This window comes from Homo sapiens, chromosome 6 (genome assembly GCF_000001405.40).
Source record: "Homo sapiens chromosome 6, GRCh38.p14 Primary Assembly".
Lineage (NCBI taxonomy): Eukaryota > Metazoa > Chordata > Mammalia > Primates > Hominidae > Homo > Homo sapiens.
This window is the reverse complement of record NC_000006.12, coordinates 169621736-169646342: the sequence shown is the minus strand read 5'-3', so window position 1 is coordinate 169646342 and position 24607 is coordinate 169621736. Positions and strand designations below refer to the sequence as shown.

The window sequence follows — 24607 nt, the reverse complement described above, 5'->3', positions numbered from 1 at the left end:
ATCCTGTCCTGGGTGCAGGGGCCTTTTGGGTGCAGCTTTTCCTGTTCACAACCTTGAACAGCAGCCTCACTCTCTCATCCTGCTGCTCATCCTGCTGTTCCTCTTCTGTTAAGGGAGGATGGCGAGGATGACAAAGGCAGCGCCTTACAAGGTGTTGGGTAGAGGATGTGAGAAAGGATTAACACGGTCTGGCACCTGCAGACCCCCATGCCGATGTTAGTGTTTGTGTTTTAGAACCAGGTTAACTAGAAGTTCTACTCTTGCCTGTGGTCAATGTGACTTCTGTGAACTAGGCTTTTCTACAGTGTGACCCTGTGAACTAGGCTTTTCTATACTGTGACTCCTGTGAACTAGGCTTTTCTACAGTGTGAGTCGTATGAACTAGGATTTCCTACAGTGTGACTCCTGTGAACTAGGATTTTCTACAGTGTGACCCTGTGAACTAGGCTTTTCTACAGTGTGACTTCTGTGAACTAGGCTTTTCTACAGTGTGACCCTGTGAACTAGGCTTTTCTACAGTGTGACTCCTGTGAACTAGGCTTTTCTACAGTGTGACTTCTGTGAACTAGGCTTTTCTACAGTGTGACCCTGTGAACTAGGCTTTTCTACAGTGTGACTCATATGAACTAGGATTTTCTACAGTGTGACCCTGTGAACTAGGATTTTCTACAGTGTGACTCATATGAACTAGGCTTTTCTACAGTGTGACCCTGTGAACTAGGCTTTTCTACAGTGGGACTCCTGCGAACTAGGGTCTTCTACAGCGTGACTCGTGTGAACTAGGAATTTCTACAGTGTGACTCGTATGAACTAGGATTTTCTACAGTGTGACCCTGTGAACTAGGCTTTTCTACAGTGAGACTCATACGAACTAGGATTTTCTACAGCGTGACTCCTGTGAACTAGGCTTTTCTGTAGTGTGACTCCTGTGAACTAGGCTTTTCTACAGTGGGACTCCTGCGAACTAGGCTTTTCTACAGCGTAACTCGTGTGAACTAGGAATTTCTACAGTGTGACTCGTATGAACTAGGATTTTCTACAGTATGACCCGGTGAACTAGGCTTTTCTACAGTGAGACTCATACGAACTAGGATTTTCTACAGTGTGACTCCTGTGAACTAGGCTTTTCTATAGTGTGACTCCTGTGAACTAGGCTTTTCTACAGTGTGACTCCTACGAATTAGGCTTTTCTACAGTGTGAGTCCTATGAACTAGGATTTCCTACAGTGGGACTCCTGCGAACTAGGCTTTTCTACAGCGTGACTCGTGTGAACTAGGATTTTCTTTTTTTTTTTTTTTTTTTTTTATTTTTTTTTTTTATTTTTTTTTTTTTTGAGACGGAGTCTCGCTCTGTCACTCAGGCTGGAGTGCAGTGGCGGGATCTCGGCTCACTGCAAGCTCCGCCTCCCGGGTTCACGCCATTCTCCTGCCTCAGCCTCCCAAGTAGCTGGGACTACAGGCGCCCGCCACTACGCCCGGCTAATTTTTTGTATTTTTAGTAGAGACGGGGTTTCACCGTTTTAGCCGGGATGGTCTCGATCTCCTGACCTCGTGATCCGCCCGCCTCGGCCTCCCAAAGTGCTGGGATTACAGGCGTGAGCCACCGCGCCCGGCCTAGGATTTTCTACAGTGTGACTCGTATGAACTAGGATTTTCTACAGTGTGACTCATATGAACTAGGCTTTTCCACAGTGTGACTCCTGTGAACTAGGCTTTTCGACAGTGTGACTCCTGTGAACTAGGGTTTTCCACAGTGTGACTCCTGTGAACTAGGCTTTTCGACAGTGTGACTCCTGTGAACTAGGGTTTTCCACAGTGTGACTCCTGTGAACTAGGCTTTTCTACAGTGTGACTCCTGTGAACTAGGCTTTTCTACAGTGTGACTCCTGTGAACTAGGCTTTTCTACAGTGTGACTCCTGTGAACTAGGATTTTCGACAGTGTGACTCCTGTGAACTAGGATTTTCTACAGTGTGACTCGTATGAACTAGGCTTTTCTACAGTGTGACTCGTGTGAACTAGGCTTTTCTACAGTGTGACTCCTGTGAACTAGGCTTTTCTACAGTGTGACTCCTGTGAACTAGGCTTTTCTACAGTGTGACTCCTGTGAACTAGGGTTTTCAACAGTGTGACTCCTGTGAACTAGGCTTTTCTACAGTGTGACTCCTGTGAACTAGGCTTTTCTACAGTGTGACTCCTGTGAACTAGGCTTTTCAACAGTGTGACTCCTGTGAACTAGGCTTTTCGACAGTGTGACTCCTGTGAACTAGGATTTTCGACAGTGTGACTCGTATGAACTAGGCTTTTCTACAGTGTGACTCCTGTGAACTAGGCTTTTCAACAGTGTGACTCCTGTGAACTAGGGTTTTCTACAGTGTGACTCCTGTGAACTAGGCTTTTCTACAGTGTGACTCTTGTGAACTAGGCTTTTCTACAGTGTGACTTGTATGAACTGGGATTTTCTACAGTGTGACTCCTGTGAACTAGGCTTTTCTACAGTGTGACTCCTATGAATTAGGCTTTTCTAAGAAGTCTTTTTTTAAAATTCTTTTAACAGGAGATGGGCAGTGGCTGGCCTGTGGGTTGGCCAACCATCTGTTACTCGTTTTTGATGCCAGCCTGACTGGGACACCTGCTGTGTTTTCAGGTAAAACATGTCTTAATTTCAGTCAGTATGAACTTAAGGATGGGTCTCACTTAGGTCCTGGTTATCAGTTGCTAAAGGACACTTTTGTTTCCTTCAGGACATCAGCAAACCAAAGCCATGGCTTGAATTGGAGTCTAAACTAGATTTACTGAGATCTTCAACCAAACAGGGCAAACATAACTCATGAGAACAGCGTGGCAGCACTTTCGTGGCTGTTGCCCTGGAGGCCAAGAGCCATTCATTTGTAGAGTTTTAGGGGAGTGAATGAAGTCAAATCCTAAATAATTGAAATATATTTAATTAATGTAATCAAAAGGCATACAGTTGAAATATATTTTGAAATTTAGTGGGGTTTGTACATAGACATTTTTATAAATGTAACAAAGCAAACAATTTTTTTTTAAAAAAAGTAGATCTGAGAGCAACAGTGTTAAAATTATGACCATTTCAACTCATAACTGGGACATATATTTGATTCCTAATTCTAATCCCATAAAACCTGCCAGCTCTTCATTAGGATCCTGATATGGCTTGCTTTAGAACTTACACTTGGTAGATATTTTAACAGAAGCACAGAAACAACACAAAATATCTCACTAGTCCTTCTGTTTTTATACAGGTTGAGCATCCGTAATCCAAAATTCTGAAATCCAAATACCCCCAAATCCAGAACACTTTGAGTGCTGACATAACATCAAGGAGATGCTCGTTGAAGCATCTCAGATTTCAGATTTTTGGATTAGGGTTGCTTACCTGCCATAATGCAAATACTCCAAAATCTGAAAAAATGGGAACTCCAAAACACCTCTAATCCCAAGCATTGCGAATATGGGACACACAGCCTGTCGCGTGACCACCCCAAGGGCAGTCATTAGGAAACGCGGAGGTGGGGCCTGGTGGGGCTGAGTTGGGGACAGAGACAGTGGGAAGCAGGCCTAGGCAAGGCCACACCTGGGAGCAGATGAGCGCCCCCAGTGACTCCCGCCTCACACCCTCTGCTTGCTAACACCCAGGGCCAGGTCTAGCAGGCCCCCAAGGGCAGGCAGAGCCGGGCTCGGCTCCTGCATGAGCAAAGCTGCCGCCCCCTGCATGGTCTGGGTGGAGAACGGTTCTCCGGGCTTGGCCTGGATGCCACCCTTGCCCTTCGAGCGCCTTGCTCCTGGTCCCACCTCATATCTATCCTGCAGCCTCAGAATCTTCACAGTGCACCTGGGAGCCCTGAGCCGGCCTCTTTCGTGGCTGAATAGTTGATATGAGTGGTTGTTCTGTTGACTGTGGGTGTTTCCCTGTGTATTTTATTGTTGGAAAAAGGGCTTCTCACTAAACTGAAAAAATGTAGTGGGTTTTCAAATTCATCTTTACAAAAACTTGCTCTGTTTCTGTGGGCGGGGGGGAAGGGCCACATTTAACCATCTCAACTGCACAAGCCACATCGTTTCACTTTGGGTGTGTAACGTTTAATAGTGGCATCGCTCAACGTTGAAAATATGACTGGTCTCTCAGCACCTGCCCAGAACACAGAAAAATGAGTGTCTTTATTTCCATTATGATCTGTGACAAATAAGTATAAATTCAAATTCTCTCCTGGAGAGTTCAGGGGCCTCTGAGCATACAGTCAGGTAGCACATCCCAGCTTGAAAACCACTGAGAGCAACCGTATTTAATTTAATAAAGGAGTTATGTGTTTCTGCTTTAGATTTCAGAATTTTTCCTATCAAAAATTGTGTCTAGTCCAAAGACAGGTACTTGAGTCCCAGGCCTTCCGCCGAGCATGTGCCTGGCACAGAGTAGATTCTCAGCGATACGGGATGGCGGCTTCTGAGCGCGCTGCGCGGGAGAGCTGCGTCATCTGTGACGCGCCCTGGAGCTAGCGGTGATCGTTGTGAAGTTCTGGGGTCAGGCATTTCGGAAGATTAAATCTAAAATTCCATTACAGATAGTGGAACTGTATAAAAACGAGAAATCTTTGTCCAAGTATGAAGTGAAGATGCGCATCTCTCCTGGTCCCGAGCTCTTGGTTGGCTCGAGCTGCGCCGAGTGGCTTCTGCTCTGCTCCTTCTCGGAGCGGGGACTGCCCACGCCGGCCTCCATGCTGCTTATGTCCCCACACCCTTGACTGCTTCCCCAGCGCGGGGTCCATGTCCAGGGGAAGTCTAGGTCCAGAGGTCTAAAACCCTGACCTAGGTAGGGTTTTAGAATCCTTTTCACTCTGTTTCTGAAGCTTCTCATCTCATCACACTCACCACAGGGGAAACTGGCCAACTGAAAAGAGGAGGGAGGCCTTCCGTACCGTGAGGAGATCGTGGGGAGAGAGAGGAAGAGGCACCCATGTGGTCCCCCATGGGCACCTTGCTTCGTGGGGATTGGCTCCCGAGGGCCCGGCCTTGCCTGCGGTGATTCGTCTTCGATGCACCCTGCGGCCCGCAGCGCTTCACGCATGTGTTTGGGGCTGGAGCTCGGGAGAGGAGGGGGATCCCACCTTTGGCAAGTTCTAAGGAATCTCCATTGTTTTCATCCTGGGAGTGGGAGGTCCGTCCCTGACACTTGAGATGAAGGACCAAGCTGACTTGTCGGGGCTGAGCAGAAGGTGGCACTTCGCAACCCCTGCATTGCCGGTGCCTCTGCTGGCCTTGGTGGCTTAGTGGCCACTGGACGTGCAGCAAACGCTGTGCTGGTAGGAGGAGGTGGGAAGGACGAGAAAAACACATTTCTCAGTCTCACTAAGAAGGAAGGGCATGAGTAGCAGTGACTTGACCCTCCCTCCTGTGTGGCCTCACGTAGAAAACACATCCTCAGTCTCACTAAGAAGGAAGAGCATGGGTAGCAGTGACTTCACCCTCCCTCCTGTGCGACCTCTCGCGGCCTCTTGCAGCCAGGCAGTGGAGGCTGGTCTGAGCTTGATATTGGAAGACAGTGCGCCACATGGCTGGTAATGGAGTGACTTCTGAGGTCAGTCACCGGGCAGATACGTCAGGCCCTTCCCACTGGGAGGACGCCCTTATGGCCCAGGCTGCCTGGACCAGGCCCTGCAGCAGGTGTCTGTGAACCTGCGATATTCTTGGATGGTGCAGAGCTGCGGACACCGCTGGTGTTCGGTACAAGCGGCATGGGTGGTGTCTATTAATGGCAGTCACAAACGTGACTTTCCTTTGAGTCTTGCAGCTGCTGTTAGCTGGGCAGCAGTGAGGAATGTTTGGAGCTTTCCTTAACCAGCCTCTGTACTTTTGCTAAAACTGCCAGAACTCTACACGTGAGGGCAGCAAAGCTATTTCACGTTTTTCTGCGCTGTGAATTTCAGCTCTGCGTTTCCTGGCGTCCTGTTGCAGAACTGAGTTATGTTCATATTCTTATATCTTTCCTGGTTTTGCCTTTTTTATGTTGATACCCTGACAGATGTGATGTAGTGAGATTGCAGTTCATTGTCTAGTCTATAAATTGTGATGTGTGATTCACATGCTGAGGCCCACAGGAAGGGGTCTTCTGCTCCGTGGGGAGATCCCGGCTATGGCAGGAATTTTCTCGGGAGTTGTGGTTACCCATTCCCTGTGAGCTATGGAGGCAAAATGGGGTCGTCGAGCAGGTCTAGGGTCATTTGTCGTCAGGAAGCATGAGTGAGGCTGCCCGTCAGTCTTCTTCTTGCCATCCCAGCCCGGGTGCTCAGGGGTCAGAGGCTGCAGGGCTGGGTGCGGCCTCTCCTTGCCCTCACCTCCCCAGCTCGTCCCCTCTCGCCCTCCTCACCATGCCACACAGCTGGCTTTGGCTCCAGGGCCGACCTCTGAGAAGAAGCGCATCCCTGGTCGTCTTTGCTTTCTCCTTTCCTTTGTGTCCGCCGCTTCTTAGAACCGTCAGGTGGTGGCAGCTGAGAGACTGTTTGAAGATGCCTCCTGCCCTGACAGCCGTTCTAGGGGTTATGAGGCAAGACAGGTCCAGAAACCAGCACGTGCTCAGGGTCTGGGCCCCAGGGTTAGGCTGGGAGTAGGATGAGGTGGGGAGTGGACAGAAAAGCTCCTACAGGTGTACGAAATAAACACTGTGCCTCATCGCCTACCTTAGTTTAATATCAGAGCAGCACACACTGCTGATATTCAGACACCTGAAGACCAGCATTGGCGCTCTCAGAAATCAGCATCCAAGCAGCCATTGTGAGTTTAGACAAAACTTTTCAAATCTGTCACAACAAATGATCAACTTATATGTGTGTGCTCAGGGATTTTTTTTTTTCACTTTTTTCTTCAACGTTGACAGCAGTTCTTTAAAATACTGATACATTATCATGGAGTCCACAGATTTCTATACTGTAGTTCATAATACTAAATGTTATCATGTTCTTTTCTGAAAACATACACTCACAGATGCACACATAATGTTGAACTTCTTAGTTTAAGAAATGCGAGGTTTTACACTGCCGGGCCGAGGCGTTCACTCACACCCCAAACCCCAGCACCACACAGTACCCAGCACCACGCAGTACCCGGCACCACGCAGTACCCAGCACCACGCAGTACACGCTCCACACAGTACCCAGCACCACGCAGTACACGCCCCACACAGTACCCAGCACCACACAGTACCGAGCACCACATGGTACACGCTCCACACTGCCTGGCCGAGGCGTTCACTCACACCCCAAACCCTAGCACCACACAGTACCCAGCACCACGCAGTACCCAGCACCACGCAGTATCCAGCACCACGCAGTACCCAGCACTGCACAGTACCCAGCACCATGCAGTACACGCTCCTAACAAACCCACACCTGCACCTCCTGAATCTAAAATAAAAGTTGAAAAAATGGAACGTGAGGCTTTAGAGCAACTGCCTTCAGAAGCCACACTGAGTCTCTACTGAAGGGAGATGGTGCACCCTGCCTCAGGCTCTGCAGCCTCACTGTGGCGAGGAGAAGCCTCCTGGCGCGCCCCTAATTACTTGAAAAATGCTGTTCCAGTTGTGTTGTATGAAAGTACCAGATAAGTAGCACTCAGTCAAAACTGATATTAATAGTAGAAATAGTAACCTTCTGTGGTCATTCCTGTTAGGTCACGACGGGGCAGTGAATGCCGTGTGCTGGAGCCAGGACCGGAGGTGGCTGCTCTCTGCGGCCCGGGACGGGACCCTGCGAATGTGGTCGGCTCGTGGGGCAGAGCTCGCACTGCTTCTGGTAATGGACAGTCATCTCTGCCATGGGCAGTCATTTCCAAAGGAGCTGAGAGCTTCTCAAAAGTCTCATTCTTTTACCTTAACAGGAGATGAGGAAAGGGACGTAAGCCAAGAGTTTGCTTTAATGCAATAAAAGTTACTGATTAAAAGTTATTGCTTCAATGCAATAACAGTTATTGATTAGTTTCTTTTTTTTTTTTTTTTTTTTTTTTTTTTTGAGACGGAGTCTCGCTCTGTCGCCCAGGTCGGACTGCGGACTGCAGTGGCGCAATCTCGGCTCACTGCAAGCTCCGCTTCCCGGGTTCACGCCATTCTCCTGCCTCAGCCTCCCGAGTAGCTGGGACTACAGGCGCCCGCCACCGCGCCCGGCTAATTTTTTGTATTTTTAGTAGAGACGGGGTTTCACCTTGTTAGCCAGGATGGTCTCGATCTCCTGACCTCATGATCCACCCGCCTCGGCCTCCCAAAGTGCTGGGATTACAGGCGTGAGCCACCGCGCCCGGCCAATTAGTTTCTTAAATGTGTGTCTACATGTATATGTTCACACACATGCAATAGGCACAGACGCATATACATGCATACACATACGCACACTTACATACTTGCCACATATTCACATGCATGTAAGAGGCACACGCATATAGATGCATACACATACGCACACTTACATACTTGCCACATATTCACACACGTGTAGATGCATACACATACGCACACTTACATACTTGCCACATACTCAGACACACGCAGTAGGCACACGCATATAGATGCATACACATACGCACACTTATACTTACCACGTATTCACACACATGCAATAGGCACACACGCATATGGATGCATACGCATACACACACTTACATACTTGCCACATATTCACACACATGGAGATGCATACACATACGCATGCTTACATACTTGCCACATATTCACACGCATATAGATGCATACACATATGCACGCTTACATACTTGCCACATATTCACACACATGCAATAGGCACACACACATGTAGATGCATACACATACACTTACATATTTGCCACGTATTAATACACATGCAATAGGCACACACGCAGATAGATGCATACACATGCGCACACTTACACACTTGCCACATGCATGCATACATTCATATGGTTAAATCTATCCTTATGTTTGTTATGGTCTGCGAATGCCACATGATTAATACTGAAACATTTGAAGAATTTTAAATATTGATTCAGTGTGATTTCATAGTCCAGATAGCAGTAATGGCCAAGGGGCTATTACGTGGGGGAAGTATATTTTAGGGAGAGGAGTGACTTGTTTTGATGAACTTACGGGAGATCATTTGGGAGCAGAACAGGAAAGGAGAGACAGGAAGATGATAGATAACCTTATGACTAGGACAGGGAAAGAAAAGGCAATGGTAGGAAACTCACCTTCAAATCATGAAATTATGAGCAGGCGACTTGCAAAGAACATAACATAAAAAGCAGTCCAATTTTCAAAGATGTTGGGATTTATTTTCTTTGCGTCTTTTATAGAAAGGGGATTGAATACGAGAAAGACAAGAAAGGAAGTGTCAATTAAAGAAGACCTAGGGCCTCTAAAGGTGAAGCGTTTGGCAGCAGCTTCAGGAAGGAGTTTGCTGAGAGCTGTGGATGCCGTCAGCTTGCTCTGTGTCATAACGTTTGGTTGTGAGGTCTAAATTTGAGAGCAGACACCTCAGAACTGTATTTTAAAACATTTTGAATTTCAGCTTTAATAAAATCTTTGGTACTTAGTATGTTTACTGCTAAGTTTCGATTTTCTTTTAAAGTTGTTAAATGGCTGGAATTCAAAGCATTCATTACAGTAACATTTTAATCATATAATACCTTTCAGAAGTAGTAGGCAGAAACAAAAATTGTAGATTGGGTCTAACAAAGTTTATGTACACATTTAGAACAAATAGATGTTGGGTTTTAAGAAGAAATAATTTTATGTTTAGAGCAATAGTGTTTTTGTTAACATTTATTATATTGACAGTAATTACTGATTTGCATTACAGGGCAAAGACATGTTTTCTAAACCTATACAGTCTGCACAGTTCTATTATATAGATGCCTTTATATTGTTATCTTCTGGCCCTGAATTTCAGCTACTGAGGTATCACATTGACACTTGCAAAGATGAGATTAAGAGGTAGGCACCCCCCGCCCTGTGCATTATTTTTAGATCACAGGAAGCTGTTTCAATAATGTGATGTTGAAAGGTATTTACATTTTAAAATGTTGCCCCAAATTTAATAATGACCTCATATCACCAAACTCTTGATGAGAGGGAATTATCCAGATCCTACTCATTTTAAACCTTCCTTTGTATTACTATGCGCGGGGCCTTTGGCATGACGGAATCAGAGAATTTGGGGGATTTGAGAATCCTCAATTATCATCTCGGCTCTGCAGCATATTGAAGTGATGTTATGTGGGACAAATACTATTGATAACATAAAGTTAAATTATGAACTGTTTCAAATATATACATATATATGGGGAATAATAAATATCTTCTTAGCTACACCTAGCTTGGACAAGTATTAACATTTCACTATCTTTGTTTTCCAGAATTTTTAAAGAAATAAAATATTACAGAGGGAATTAGGAACCTATCTCCCAGTCCTGTCCTCTTCCCTTTTTCCTCCTTTTGAGATTGATATATTTGCTTCTTGGTCATAGTTTTGTATTTTTGCTGTATCTCTGTGTATTCATGTCATTTTATTTTTTTGAGTGTAACATGAGCACACCTTTCTTAATCAAAGTTACGTTTCTGAGATGTGTGCCTTCAGTTTGTTAATTGGGGCAGGTGCCCTGCGCTCGGAATGGGCACTGCATCTGCCTGCTTCTCTCATGGAGGGACATCGGGTTGGGACCTGCCAAGGGTTGGGCTTCCATCCGATCGCATCTGATAGATGGGCTTGCAAGGAATCCCCGATCTCACCCCGATCTCAATGAGAGCATCCCCACTCTCATCTATCCTGTGGCACAGCATCCCAGGAGTGACTTCTGGCCTGTGCTGGGGCGGGTTGCATGCAGAGGAAGGGCTCCAGGACCCAGCGGCCCCCTCCTGCGGCCCCTCCCTCAGCCTTGTCTTCAGAGGTGCCTGGGACTTTCAGTCCTAAAGTTTGTTTTTGAGACGGAGTCTCACTCTGTCGCTAGGCTGGAGTGCAGTGATGAGATCTTGGCTCACCGCAACCTCCGCCTCCCGAGTTCATGGGATTCTCCTGCATCAGCCTCCCAAGTGGCTGGGATTACAGGCGCCCCCCTTCCCCCACCTGCCCCCCAACCACACCTGGCTAATTTTTGTATTTTTAGTAGAGACGGGGTTGCACTATGTTGGCCAGGCTGGTCTCGAACTCCTGACCTCGTGATCTGCCCGCCTCGGCCTCCCAAAGTGCTGGGATTACAGGCATGAGCCACCACACCTGGCCTAAAGTTTATTTTTACTTACTGGGAGGGAGCTTCACAAGTCAGCTCATGTCACAGCGTTCCCATCTCGGCTGGCACAGCCCTTTGCCCCTGAGAGTTGGTGGATCCTCTTCTTGTTCCTGCCTCCTCTTTCTGATCTTGTGGGACTTTCTCTTAGAGATCACTTTGCAGGCACTTCAGTTGGGTTTCGGGAGGCAGTGAAGCTGAGGCATGTCTTCAGTTATATGTAGCGGGAGATGGGCAGGATTTTCTAAGCATACATGGAAATACCCTATAGAAAAAGGCTGGTGCATTTGATTACAGGCTGAAGAAGGAGGACGGCGTGGGGGATCTTTTGTATGTCAAAAATCACCACAAATAATTAGATGTTAATAGAAAAACAGGTTTTTTTTCCTAAAGAAAAATTAAGGTAGCTAATTCACTTTTCCCCTCAGTATCATAAAATATGATTTTTAAAGTGATATGAAAACTTTCTTTTCATGTTTAATGTTTTTAAAGATAAGGTGTTTAGTTGTAGCAGAAGGAAAGCAAAAATATTGATCATCTTGATTTTCTCTTCCAGATATAAACAGAAGAGCAAGTCCAAGCTGATTTGCAGGCTCTCCACGACGGGTGCAGTAGACATGACCAGTTTATCGGCAGTCAACGACTTTTATTCCCGTATCCTTTCTCCCGGATCCTGGTAGGGTTTTACGCCCTGAGTGTTGTTCCTCTGGCAGAGGCATGTGCTGAGCATCTCGTGAGTGTCAGGCATTGTGTGGGGCTCCGGGAATGCAGGGACCCTTCTCATGGAGCTCGCCATCCTTGTGTTAATTGTACGTGTAATAATTCATCTCAACATTGAGAAAGGGCCTCAGAGGAAGAAGAAACCTGAGTGCCGTACAGCTCATGCCATCCAGCAGGTGGGTGGGCTGACCTGGCCCTTCTGCTCTGGACTTTGTTGACTAATGTCTACTAATTTAGTCATTGTATCTCATCTGCATAGCTGGCAAAAATCATAGCGGTTGCTGTTCAAAATAATATGAAATGGAATCCCAGAACTTTAATTTTTGAGATTTTTATGGCTAACACCATTGCTTTTAATTTTCAAAGTTGATTTTAATTTATTTAGGGGAAAAGCTCCAGATCTTTAGGAATTCATTGTATAAAGTTTTAATTTACTCAAAGTTCAATCTACGTTGAACTCTATTGGAGGGTTTTGTAGTTGAACTAAAAGTGTTAGGAGGTTGCAGTATGTTTTCTTTAGAAACGTGGTAATTTCATGCTAGAATAGGTGTTAAAATACCTAGCAGAAATAAGAAATATGTCATTAGGATTATTCTAGCTTAAATGATGGTTTCTGGAATACGAGAGTACTAGAGTCAAGAGTAATCCAACGCTAACACCAGCATTACGGGTCTCTTGACTCCAGTGCACCTGGGTTCCCACCACCTATACACATTACTACAGCATTCAGGGCTGAGCATTGAGGCTTGGGGAGTGCTGGTGGTCACACGCGCCCTAAATGTACACATTGCTCCTCATAGGTCAAGTTTATGAAGCACGTCACGGTCACCTGCCGACATGGCACTGTCTGGGTTGTGTCTCCCATCGTGAAGCCTGCCCCAGGTGCTGTCACCCATTCTGTGGATCTGTCTAATCTTAGTCCAGCCCTTTCTGCTGAGTGCAGTATCTACATATTCAATTATTTGACATCTGATTTGGGTGTTTCATGGACATCTCAAACACCACGTATCTAAAGCTGGAACTCACACCTCAAAATAGCTACTGTGGTGGTCTCACTTTTCCTAAGCAGCCCTCCCCCACCCCCGTCCACCTGCTCTTGCCAACACCTGGAGTCAGATGGGGTGGGGCTGGACTGGACTCAGGACTTTTCCTGCGGCATTTCAGAAATTCTTAACTAGTCATCCATTCATGAGTCTTCTAATATTCCAAAGTTTTTATTAGTAAAAGAGAGGGAACTGTCCCTTCCCCATGGGTAAGAGTGTTGAGAAGAGCTCCCTAACTGGATTATCGCAGACATCGTACTCGCAGCTGGCCGGAACAGGACCGTGGAAGTGTTTGACCTCAACGCCGGCTGCAGTGCAGCGGTGATAGCGGAAGCCCACTCACGGCCTGTCCATCAAATCTGCCAAAATAAAGTGAGTAAGTTTTTGGATAACATGTATCATCTGTAAAACTATGTGCTTAAAGCATTTAACAGATACAAATGTATGATGCCATTTTATAAGTGTTTGCTACCAAATTCAATGTTAATTTTTATTGATCATTAAATTATTCGAAGCCTTGATGTTTGACCCTAGGAGATATTTTAATATCATGTTGAATGTTAAGTTTTCTACGTTTGTGTTTGATTATTTTATGGGCCCATATTAAGATTTTACTAGTAAAACATTCTTACATAAAACTTGATAAGGTTGTATATGTTAAGCAATAATGGATTGCATGGTAGACACATAGGTTCTATGAACTGGGGCAGCCTTGCTAAATCAGTAGCTTTTTTTTGAAGGTGGAGGCTGTTGGATACAGCCAGTCTGTTTTGACAGAGACAAAGTTTACAAATATCCACAGCGGTAGGTTAAAGGGTGGCATTACAGGAGAAACATTTGATGAGTTCATTGTCTGATAGCTGCACGGTTCAAAAGACACTTGGTACCCAAGAGGGCCTCTAAGTCTTGGGAACAAAACTGTATTTCTTAGGACTAAAACTGCAATTTTGGTTGTTGATATGCCTGGAAAGGTTTTCCAAGTTGAGGATTTAACTTACGATGCATCTGGCATTTATATCATGATTCAGGGTATCATTTTGCCAAGTGAAGTATTGCAATGTTGGTTAAACAGACTTTGTTATCCACAGGTTAACACATTTTGCGTCTTCTTTTTTTTTTTTTTTTTTTTGAGACAGAGTCTCTCGCTCTGTCACCCAGGCGGGAGTGCAGTGGCACTATCTCGGCTCACTGCAACCTCTGCTTCCTGGGTTCAAGCGATTCTCCTGCCTCAGCCTCCTGAGTAGCTGGGATTACAGGCATGAGCCACCACACCTGGCTAATTTGTTTTGTATTTTTAGTAGAGATGGAGTTTCACCATGTTGGTCAGGCTGGTCTCGAACTCCTGACCTTGTGATCAGCCTGCCTCGGCCTCCCAAAGTGCAGAGATTACAGGTGTGAGCCACCGTGCCTGGCCCACATTTTGAGTCTTTTAAATTTCTGTTTAATAGGACAGGTATGGTCTGATTATCTATAAAGTTTTTTAATCAGTTCAAATCAGAAAGAGCAAAGATTCTGGGCTGCTAAGTTAAATTACATTGAAGCAGATTTGTTCCTGCATCTTTTCTGGATAAAGGGGAGATGGAGGTGTCAGGGCCACAGGAAGACTTTAACGGGTGCAGCATGAGAGACCCCGGGATTCAGAGGCTCCGTGTCCAGGAAGATGGTCTCCCTGCATGTCGGTCTGGATGGCTCTTCAGAGAGGCAGATCCAGGGACTTGGCAGTGTGGGGTAGTCAGAGCTTCGGAGTCCAGGAGGACGCCTGGGGAGACTGCCTGCGGAAGCGAATTCCACCTCCGTGCCCTCCCTGTGGGCAGCCTTGGTCGGAGAAGGGAGGGTTTAAAGGCTCCGACAGGCGTCTTTATCTTGCCTTCCTTTTAATCTTCCACCCCCCCACCCCACCACCCAGTTCATTAATAGGACATTTCAAGTTTCAATAGGAGAAGGCTTTTCTGGTTTGAATAACACCATGGAAATATCAGCTTGGGGAGAGTTGTTGGAGAAAAGATTATTTTTCTGCATTTTTTCTTTTTGTTTAGACTCTTCCTGCGTATAAACCAGAGCAAACATGTTTTTAAACACTGTGCAGTGGGTGTCTCAGATGAGTGAAGGGATCCCTTTGAAGAATCCTGTAACTTCTTTACAAGGCTATGAAAACGGCATACTTCACAAACGAAGTGTGAATTAGTTGAATCAGTGCTGTGTGTAATACTCCATGTTTCTGTGTTTTCTGGGAAAGCTGTGAAGGAAAAAGAAGTCAGTTTGGTGATTTATGATGAGACTAGGCAGCACTGTTGGTATTTGAGAGCCATGATCTGATACTACTAATTTCGCAGTAAGATCTTTTAAATGAATTTAATAATTGAGTTACTAACTTTTAAAATGATTGTTAGCCTAATACCCACCTTATTGATTGATTGATTGATTTGAGATGGAATCTTCCTCTGTCTCCCAGGTTGGAGTGCAGTGCCATGATCTCGGCTCACTGCAACCTCCACCTCCTAGGTTCCAATGACTCTCCTGCCTCAGGCTCCCGAGTAGCTGGGATTACAGGCGCGTGCCACCACGCCTGGCTAATTTTTGTATTTTTAGTAGAGATGGAGTTTCACCATGTTGGCCGGGCTAGTCTCGAACTCCTGACCTTGTGATCCGCCCGCCTCGGCCTCCCAAAGTGCTGGGATTACAGGCGTGAGCCACTGCGCCCGACCAACCTGTCTTATTTTTTAGGTGTTATGATTCCTTTTAAATTCAAGTGCAGCTTAATGAGATATTGATAGCTAATATTTGGATGTAGAATGTTAAAGTATAAATCTGACCTACTAAATTTATTTAGTGAAACTTCCACGCAAAGACATTTGACTTTAAGATACCTGAGTGCAGACTAGGGTTTGCACCATCTTTGTGTCTGATCTTGGTCGTACCTGGAACCTGGAATCTGTTCACTTGACATGCGCCGATTTGAACTGTGACTCGCTGTTACCAACAGAAAGCAAAGGATTCGATTCTTTGTATAAGAAAGTAGATGTAAATCTAGAGAAAAAAATGGTTTCTTAAAAAGACTCGTCAGCATGTAGATTTCAGAGGTTAAAGTTTGACAAGTAGTATTTAAAATTTGTTGATATATTATTCTCAAAATGCAATGTCTAAAAATGTATCTAAAGATAAAGATTGCTAACAAGAAAAGTCTCTCCTGAGATGTTATGTAGTTGTCTATCTGGTCAGTTTTTCTAAAAGTCTGTGAGTCTTTAGATAATACAGTTAAGTGAGAATTGACCAAATTTCTTAAACATTGTCATTCTTGAGTTTAAAAATTTCAGTCGTGAAGATAAATGAATCTTATACGTGAAGTTTCTTTCATGTTGTAAATTTTACTTTTTTTTTTTTTTTTTTTTTTGAGATGAAGTTTCGCTCTTGTCGCCCAGGCTGGAGTGCAGTTGCGTGATCTCGGCTCACTGCAAGCTCCGCCTCCTGGGTTCAAGCGATACTCCTGCCTCAGCCTCCCGAGTAGCTGGGATTAGAGTCGTGGGCCACCACGCCTGGCTAATTTTTGTGTTTTTAGTAGAGAGGGGATTTCACCATGTTGGCCAGGCTGGTCTCAAACTCCTCACCTCAGGTGATCTGCCTGTCTCGGCCTCCCAAAGTGCTGGGATTACAAGCCTGAGCCACCGCGCCCGGCCAATTTTACATTTAAAACATATTGCTTACCATGCTTTCTGACACTTGCTGCTGCTTGTCTCAAACATTGTCAATTATTAGAAAAATATTTCTTAGTTCATTTAATTTTGTATTGGTTGTGCATGACTCTTATTAAAGGTGGTCATTGCAAAGCCAATTATAATTTATTTTTGGTGTTTGGAAAATGGTCTGTCAGCATTTCCATTATAAATCCCTATTTTCTTTCTCTTTTTGTTCTTTTCTTTCTGGGGTTTATGACAGAGCCATAAAACTTGGTCTAGATTAAAACTTGGCCTGTTAGAGCTTAGGCTGAGATTTTTTTTCAATTTAGTTCCCAAATTTTTAAAAATTGTTTCAGATGTTTAGGTTGCAAATGCAAAATATAATTTCGGAGTTTTTAATGCTTTCTAATTTATAACTTAAAAAATAACATGCAAGGTTTAAGATAATGGTAAAGATAATTCTTTTAACTTTAGCTAACCAATTTTCTAATATTTTCAAGAGAATTATTTTGGAAAATGATATGATGCTATTTGGTGTGATTTTGTAATTTTATTTCCTTTCCTCTCTGTTCCCACTTCATAATAGAAGAGTTTCTAACCTTTTGCATATATAAAGCTTTTCTCTGTTAAAGGGTTAAATGTATGTAAATCTCTTAGTATGTGCTAAGTCCATTAAGTGAAAGCTATTTTTCTAATTTTTAAAATATGAATTTGTGGAGGCAGATGGGTACTGCTTTAGAAAACTCTTACGTTCCACATGCAACTACTCTCACACAGTTCTTTTGTTCCTGTGAGTTTTAGGGATAAATGCACAAGAATTTCTCCACCTGCAGCAGCAGATCAGAAGCTGAGTTAGATATGGTTTCAGTGTTCAAAGAAATACAAGGCAGAAGGTGGTAGTCACGGGTGGAATAACATTCGCACAAGGCTGACTGTTCTAAGCACTATAAAATGATGTGGAATCGCTGCCAGAGAGTAGGGATGGGAACAGCCATCCTGTCCTGGGAGGATGAGAGAAGGCTGCATCTGAACTGGCATTACCCATTCTCACATACTGTTAGATAAAACTTTTGGTTTTACGAGGAGTTTAAAGGCACATAAAATGGAGAAATAGAAAGATTGAATAAACTTGTTTTACCTCCTGTGTGGTCAGCAAGTTTGCACTGAAAGCCGTGTGGTGTCCTGGTCTCCCTGTGACACGCTGTGTTCCTGCTGGTAGAGCGACTCATATTTTAAATCCTGCAGGCGGGCTGATGCGCATGAGGCTCCAAATGTGGAGTCTCAGTCTGTTGGGGCTGCTTTAACAAAATGCCCTAGACTGGGATATTTACAAGCAACAGAAATGTATTTGCTCACAGTTCTGGAGGCTGGCAAGTGTGAGATCAAGGCACTGGCAGATCAGCGTCTCATGAGGGCTTTCTGCTTGAGTGGCGGGGCCTTCCTGCTGTATCCTCAAGTGGTGGATGGAAATACAAACTCCTTGAAACCTCCCTCATAAGGGCATTCAGCCCATTCATGCAGACTCCACTCTCATGACCTAATCACTTCTCAAGGGCCCCACCTCTTAATACCATTGCAGTGGGGGTTTCAACTGATGAATTCTGGGGGGAGAGCAACTTCCAGACCATGGCGCCGAGTCACCCCTAGGTGCTTGCCAGAGTCTGTGTGTGGAATTTTTTGAGTGTCACAGCTAGGAACTAATGTTCACCAAGTCTCTGGAACGCCGTGGCCTTTCCCTGTGTGTTCTCACAGGCTCAGCGAGGACATTCGATGGATGAGGACTCAGAGTGCAGGGCCTCCCTCCTCCCTCTGCATGGGCTGTGAGCTGGGAGTTGGACTCCAGGCCTGCCTAGTTCCTCTGCCTGGATGCTGTTTTTCTTCCCTCCTTACCATCTAAATGTCAGGTTATCTCAACTGAACCCAGTATCTTGACCAGGTCAACCAGCTCCTGACACTTCACATCACACCCCATGCTGTGGCTGCACCTGCCTGAGCAATGTGGAGGCTCCCCGTGCACAGCACCAAGGGAGGAGGATGGAGACGCTGGGCCTGGCTCGCCTCGGGAGCCTCAGGACAGCAGGCATGGTGAATGGCGCTCCAGTACGTAGACGATCTCCACATTCTGATACGTGTTTTTCCTCTCTTCCTCTAGTGCTGATGTCATTTTGGCTTCTTTTATCTTTTATTTCAATAATTGAGGAGACTTGAGCCAGATGAGCTGTGTTTACATTTAGCTTTATTCTGGCTTTTAAAATATGTTGTGTTGGAAGCATCATCATAGATTTTTTAGAACACTTCAAGCCGTAAAAAGGCATTGACTTGGAGAACGAAGATATAGGAAGTGAATTTGTAGCATAATTAAGATTTGTTTTTAAAAAGATGTTTATATTTTGTTAGTTTGATTGTAATACATTTATTTTCAAGACTTAAAGCATCAAATTTCATTCTTGTCCCATTTAATTTACTGTAATGAACATTGTTTCTAAATATATGTTAGAAATCAGCAATTAGATGATGGTGGTGAGGAGTTATCGAGGAAATCATGGAGGAGGACCCTGACAAATTACAGCGGCGCTGGAGGACCAGTCCTGAGTTACAGCCGCTGTGGCCTTTCACATCAGAACTCTGCTCTCCTTACCAGGAAATGAGAAATGTGCTGTCAGGAGAAGGGCAGCTGCTGATCTGTTACAGTGAGGACTCTTTAGAGTCCAGGTTTTCAGCTCCTCGGAGACACAGGCACTGCCCAGTGGTGCTGTTGGCGTCCACAGCGGGGCATCCTCATGCCCAGTCCGCCGGGAGACTTCTGCCTTTATCTGTTTTACACACTGGATGAACGCATGGCCTCTCGAAGGGCTGGTTCTGTGTGTCTAAAAACCACTGCTGTGAAGGGTGACCATTTCGGCAAGGAAGTGCTCTGTTGTGGAACAATGGCCTCATCTACTTACTCACGGACGTGGTGTGAGTGTATTCTGAGCTGCACGGTGCGGACTCATGTGGAAAGCGGCGTGATGTCATCCTCAGGATCACCTTCCAGGTCAGAGGCAGGAGGTGTATTCAGTTTATGAAGTAGTCTGTGGGGCCTCTGAACAAGGCGGGGTCAGGGAAGGTGTTCCCCAGGAGGTGGTCCTGGGGCTGAGCCTTGAAGGAGGAGGGGACAGCTGCACCAGCAGGAGGGGCCTGGACCTGACCCCCCACCGCCCACTGTGTGGCCCAGAGAAGGCAGCAGGAGCCTGGCACAGCCTGCTGTGTTCTGCACCTAGCCCCACAGGCAATGCAACCCCCCTTGGCTGGTGCCTCTGCAGCCACCCTGCTCACTACAGCACAGCCCCCCTCTGTCACCCTCTGTGGGTGTGCAAAGCCTCAGGAAGGCGACACCCACACCCGCATAGGTGCAGGTGTGGGAGGCCTAGCGCTGCCGTCTTCTGTCCCACCTATGGCCTGCAGTTGCTCCCCAGCAGCTGTCCCCGCGGGCTTGTCTCCGCCTATCATCACCCACTGTGGACCTGTGCCTTCAGAACCCCATTCGGGTTATTTTAATCTTCACTGTCAATTCTTCAGAGGCCCCAGCAGCTTTTAGGATAAAAGCCCGAGGCTGCATGCAGACCCTGTACCACTTTCTCGTTCTTACCCTGTCAGTGTCCTTGGTGACGCCTCAGACCCAGTCTCAAGCTTGGCGCCCACATGAAGCCCGGGCTGCTGGGCTGGGCCATTCTCTCACACCCTGGTTGGCTTCTGTGGTGGCCTGGACAGTCACAGGAGGGCATCAGGGCCAGCTCCCATGTGACACACATGCTCTATCTGCTGAGAAGAGGCGGGCTCTGGTCTCAGAGTCACAGCATCATGAACGTGGAGCACGGGGCATCCTCATCCCCCCCAGAGCCCCAGACGGAGTAGGGGTGCCGGCGTGAGATCTGAGCAGGCACCACTGGCACCTAAGCTCTGACCCCATGGAGCAGCTAAGGCTCCACACTGGTTTCCCGACTGCACCTGCCTGCCGGTTTCCTGACTGCACCCACCTGACAGTGAGCCCAGTGAACGGGGCTGACTCTGAGACACAGGACTGACCCCGTCGGGCCTGGTCCCCGGCACTTCAGCCCAGGGCTCTCAGAAGATGGAGCTGAGCGTCCGCCAGCTGCACTCTGTCTGTGCTCTTGCTCTGTGGCCCGGGTCACGGGCAGACCCTTCCGACTGTCCAGGCTCAGTCTCCACCACCACCCCAGGAGGCCTCCCTGGCCTCTCAGTAGTTGGACTCGGCCCCTTACTTGGTCTTGTGTCTACACTGCTGTTCCAGGGCTCATCAGTGCAGTCGGAATGACGTGGAATTAATCCTCTCTCCTGTGAGAGTCTCATCTTGAGGACAGAGCCATCCGTTACTAGCATACAGTCGGTGCTCAAAAATTGCTTGCTTAGTCCAAGCCCAGTCCTGGCAGTTTTAAGGGGCCTGTTTGAGTTACAACCGTTGGATCTGCCTTCCTTTTTCAGTATTTCAGCAGGGCCATCGTGGACCCAGAAGAACTCCATGACCTGCTGCTGGCGCGGACACTCCAGGACTCAGCCTTTGGCTTTCCATAGTGGTGACATAAGAGAAGCAGCTACGTGTGTGTTTATTCCAGATGCCAAGTGAAGCCTAGAACAGGAGTTGCATCTTGCAGGTCCCCTCAGTGGATGGGCCGGGCCCCGAGGGTGAGGGCTGCCACAGTTGACTGCCCAGCCAGGCTGTGGGACGGCTGCTCTTGTACTCTCCATGCTCTGACTCAAGGGAACCTGTGTTCCTGGTCTCGTGCCATCTACCTGGAGCTGCAGTGAACACACATCTCGAATTTTTCATCCCATGGGGTTGCATGGCTGCGGCTCACGTGTCTCATGGGCCAGGCATCAGTCACAGGCCACAGCAAGGGCTCTAGTTGACGGTCAGGTGAGCTCTCTTCTCAGTGGTTGTCAAACTCTCATGGGAAAATTATTTAATTAAATTGGTTACTTTATCCTTTTTATTTATGAAAATTAATGAAGTTTTCTTTAGTTATTAGAGAACTTGGGAGGTCACCTGACTCCCTGGAAACGGTCGATGGCTGTTTTCGATTTAGGTCCTGCATGTCCCTGGCTGGGCTGAGGGGGATCGGGGATGGCACCAGGGCACAGCCCAGCCTCCCTCCGGCTCCCTAAGCAGTTCCGAGTGGACACGAGCGTTTCATTCACTAAGTCACTCGAGCTTGAGAGAGACGCATGAGGGGCTGCACTCTGGTGAGCTTCGAATCTCCTTTTGCACACCTGGAAGGTTCTCGTGGGTGTTCTTTGTCCTCGGATCCAGAGTGTATCTGATGCCACACGCCGCACACCTGATGCCACACACCTGACGCCACACACCTGACACCACACGCCACACACTGCGCACCTGACGCCCCACATGGCACACCTGATGCGCACACGGAACACCTGCCACATGCCGCACACCTGATGCCACACGCTGCACACCTGACGCCACACACCTGACGCCCCACACGGCACACCTGACACCACACACCTGACCCCACACACGGCACACCTGATGCCACATGCTGCACACGGCACACCTGACCCCACACACGGCACACCTGACCCCACACGCGGCATGTGGTGTCTCCAGGGCCCCATGTCCCCAATCCTGTGTCTGGTGTTCACCTCGCCTCGTGGGTGGCTGCCTGTTAGCTGGTTTTGCTGTTTGTGTTTGTGTCTACCTTCTTTTTGCTCAGGCTGTGTCACTCCTAGGCTCATTTACTAGGACCTAGAGAAGTGTGCCCTCAGCCAGTGTGAGGAAAACAGGCCCAGGCTGGCACTGAGTAGCCGTTGGGAGGAGTTTTCAATGTGCTAAATCCCATGATTGGGGCCTCACGTGTGTGTCAAAACACCATGCTGTACCCCAAAATATGTGCAGTTCTTATGGGTCAATTAAAAACAAAATAAATAAGTAAATGACCAGTTTTTCTTCTAAACGGTTCAGAATAATTCATCCCAAATGTGGGTTGTTGATGCTCCCCCACCATGGCTCTCTTGGGCACCCTGGCTGGACCCTCACTGTCTCTGCATGTGAGTGGGTACGCAGGCTGTGACTTCTGTGTGAAGCCTGCGGGCCCGGTGAGTGGTGCCGTCACTGGCTGAGGGCCACAGCTGAGCCACTGGGGTAACCGCCCAATGGTTCACCTTGTCTGCTGCCTAGATAGAGCCAGTTGATCAAGACAGGGGAATTGCAATAGAGAAAGGGTAATTCACACAGAGACGGCTGTATGGGAGACTGGAGTTTTATTATGACTCCAATCAGTCTCCCCAGGAATCTGGGGGTGGGAGTTTTTAAGGATAATTTGGTGGGTGGGTGGAGTCAGTGAATCACGAGTTCTGATTGGTCAGGTCAGAGGTGAAATCATCAGGAGTCAAAGCTGTCCTCTTGTGCTGAGTGAGTTCCTGGGTGGGGGCCGCACGACCAGCTGAACCAGTTTATTGATCGGGTGGGGTACCAGCTGATCCATTCAGTGCAGGGTATGCAAAATATCTCAAGCACTGATCTTAGGTTTTACAATAGTGATGTTATCCCCAGGAGCAATTTTGGGTAGGGGTGGGGGAGGTGGTCAGAATCTTGTAGCCTCCAGCTACATTACTCCTAAACCATAATTTCTAATCTTTGAGCTAATTTGTAGGTCCTACAAAGGCAGTCTGGTCCCCAGGCAAGAAGGGGATTTGTTTTGGGAAAGGGTTGTTACCATCTTTGTTTCAAAGCTAAACTATAAGTTCCTCCCCAAGTTAGTTTGGCCTCAGCCCAGGAATGAAAAGGACGGCTTGGAGGTTAGAAGCAAGATAGAGCTGGTTAGGTCAGGTTTCTTTCACTGTCTCAGTTGTAATTTTGCAATGGCTGTTTCACCGGGACGCTTCTCCCGTGTCGAAACACTGCAGTGCTCTCCTGAGGAGGGACACAGTAAAAATATCACTTCTTTGAAAAGTTTCCTGTTTTTATAGCTCTGGTAAAAATAATGAATAATAGATTTTATGTTAAACTTCGTTTTCAGTCATTTCTTCATCTCTTTGTGGAGATTGTTTTATTCATATTGTTTTCCAAGTGGTTCTGTTTTTTTCTATAAACATTCAGTGAAATGGCCATGGAGAGTAAAGTGTTAACAGTCTGACTTTGGGCTGAACTCTTAATTCAATACCTGTTCCTAATAGCAGTTAAATATACCACTGCTCATTTCCTCCCACCTTAAATTTGGTTTGTATGTGCGTGTGTGTGAACCCTGAACATCTGAGGCAGGTTTCAGTGAAACTGGAAAGTTTATTTTGCCCAGGTTGGGGATGGGTGCCGTGACACAGCCTCAGGAGGTCCTGACGACATTTGCCCGAGGTGGTCAGAACACAGTTTGATTTCACACGTTCTAGGGAGACATGAGACATCAGTCAACATACATAAGATGAACATTGCTTCGGTCTGGAAAGGTGGGACAACTCGAAGCAAAGGCAGGAAGACACAAATCAGGGAGGGGACCTTCAGGTCCTGGGTACATAAGGGACAAATGGTTGCATTCTTTTGAGTTTCTGATGAGTCTTTCCAAAGGGGGCAGTCAGATCTGCATTTATCTCAGTGAGCAGAGGGGTGACTTTGAATAGAATGGGAGGCAGGTTGGCCCTAAGCAGTTCCTAGCTTGACTTTTTCCCTTTAGCTTGGTGATTTGGGGGCCCAGAGATTTATTTTCCTTTCACAGTGTGTATATGTGTGCAAGTATATGTGCCTGTGTGTGAATGCCTGAGTGTGTTCATATGTATATGCGTGAATATGTGTGTATATGCGTGAATACGTGTGTATATGTATGAATGCATGTGTGGGTATGTATATGCATGCATGCATGTGTGTGCGTCTGTATATATGTGTGCGTGTGTGTGTGTATGT

The 24607-nt window shown here is 46.6% G+C and overlaps 1 protein-coding gene and 1 long non-coding RNA gene across 23 annotated transcripts in view, besides 2 other annotated features; one reads left to right on the top strand and one right to left on the bottom strand.

The window, feature by feature from the left end:
- Positions 1–24607, top strand: part of WDR27 (WD repeat domain 27) — a 275610-nt gene that overhangs the window by 55687 nt on the left and 195316 nt on the right. For 17 of the 22 annotated variants that reach the window (XR_007059231.1, XR_007059230.1, XM_011535688.4 and 14 more), the window contains 5 exons: positions 2557–2646; positions 7683–7804; positions 9839–9972; positions 11818–11915; positions 13275–13396. Coding sequence is in view for 18 of the 22 variants with exons in the window: in XM_011535688.4 (XP_011533990.1) it covers positions 2557–2646; positions 7683–7804; positions 9839–9972; positions 11818–11915; positions 13275–13396 (566 nt within the window). In the remaining 4 variants the exon portion in view is untranslated. Of the gene's footprint in view, positions 1–2556; positions 2647–4894; positions 6789–7682; positions 7805–9838; positions 9973–11817; positions 11916–13274; positions 13397–18634; positions 19124–24607 lie in introns of those variants that run through there. The other 5 variants (XM_047418585.1, NR_146875.2, XR_007059233.1 and 2 more) reach the window with 5 other exon arrangements.
- Positions 5157–5772: an enhancer, noted in NCBI's record as "H3K4me1 hESC enhancer chr6:170040667-170041282 (GRCh37/hg19 assembly coordinates)". NCBI's record gives its function as "activates a minimal SCP1, AML or CMV promoter by ChIP-STARR-seq in primed H9 embryonic stem cells {active_cell/tissue: H9 hESC(primed)}" and the evidence as "EXISTENCE:reporter gene assay evidence [ECO:0000049][PMID:30033119]".
- On the bottom strand, positions 14837–17924 carry LOC124901471 (uncharacterized). The gene is made up of 3 exons (XR_007059892.1): positions 17837–17924; positions 15943–16051; positions 14837–15260 (listed from the first exon to the last, which is right to left on the bottom strand). It is a non-coding gene; the product is annotated as an uncharacterized LOC124901471 (long non-coding RNA).
- Positions 21685–22184: an enhancer, noted in NCBI's record as "H3K4me1 hESC enhancer chr6:170024255-170024754 (GRCh37/hg19 assembly coordinates)". NCBI's record gives its function as "activates a minimal SCP1, AML or CMV promoter by ChIP-STARR-seq in naive H9 embryonic stem cells {active_cell/tissue: H9 hESC(naive)}" and the evidence as "EXISTENCE:reporter gene assay evidence [ECO:0000049][PMID:30033119]".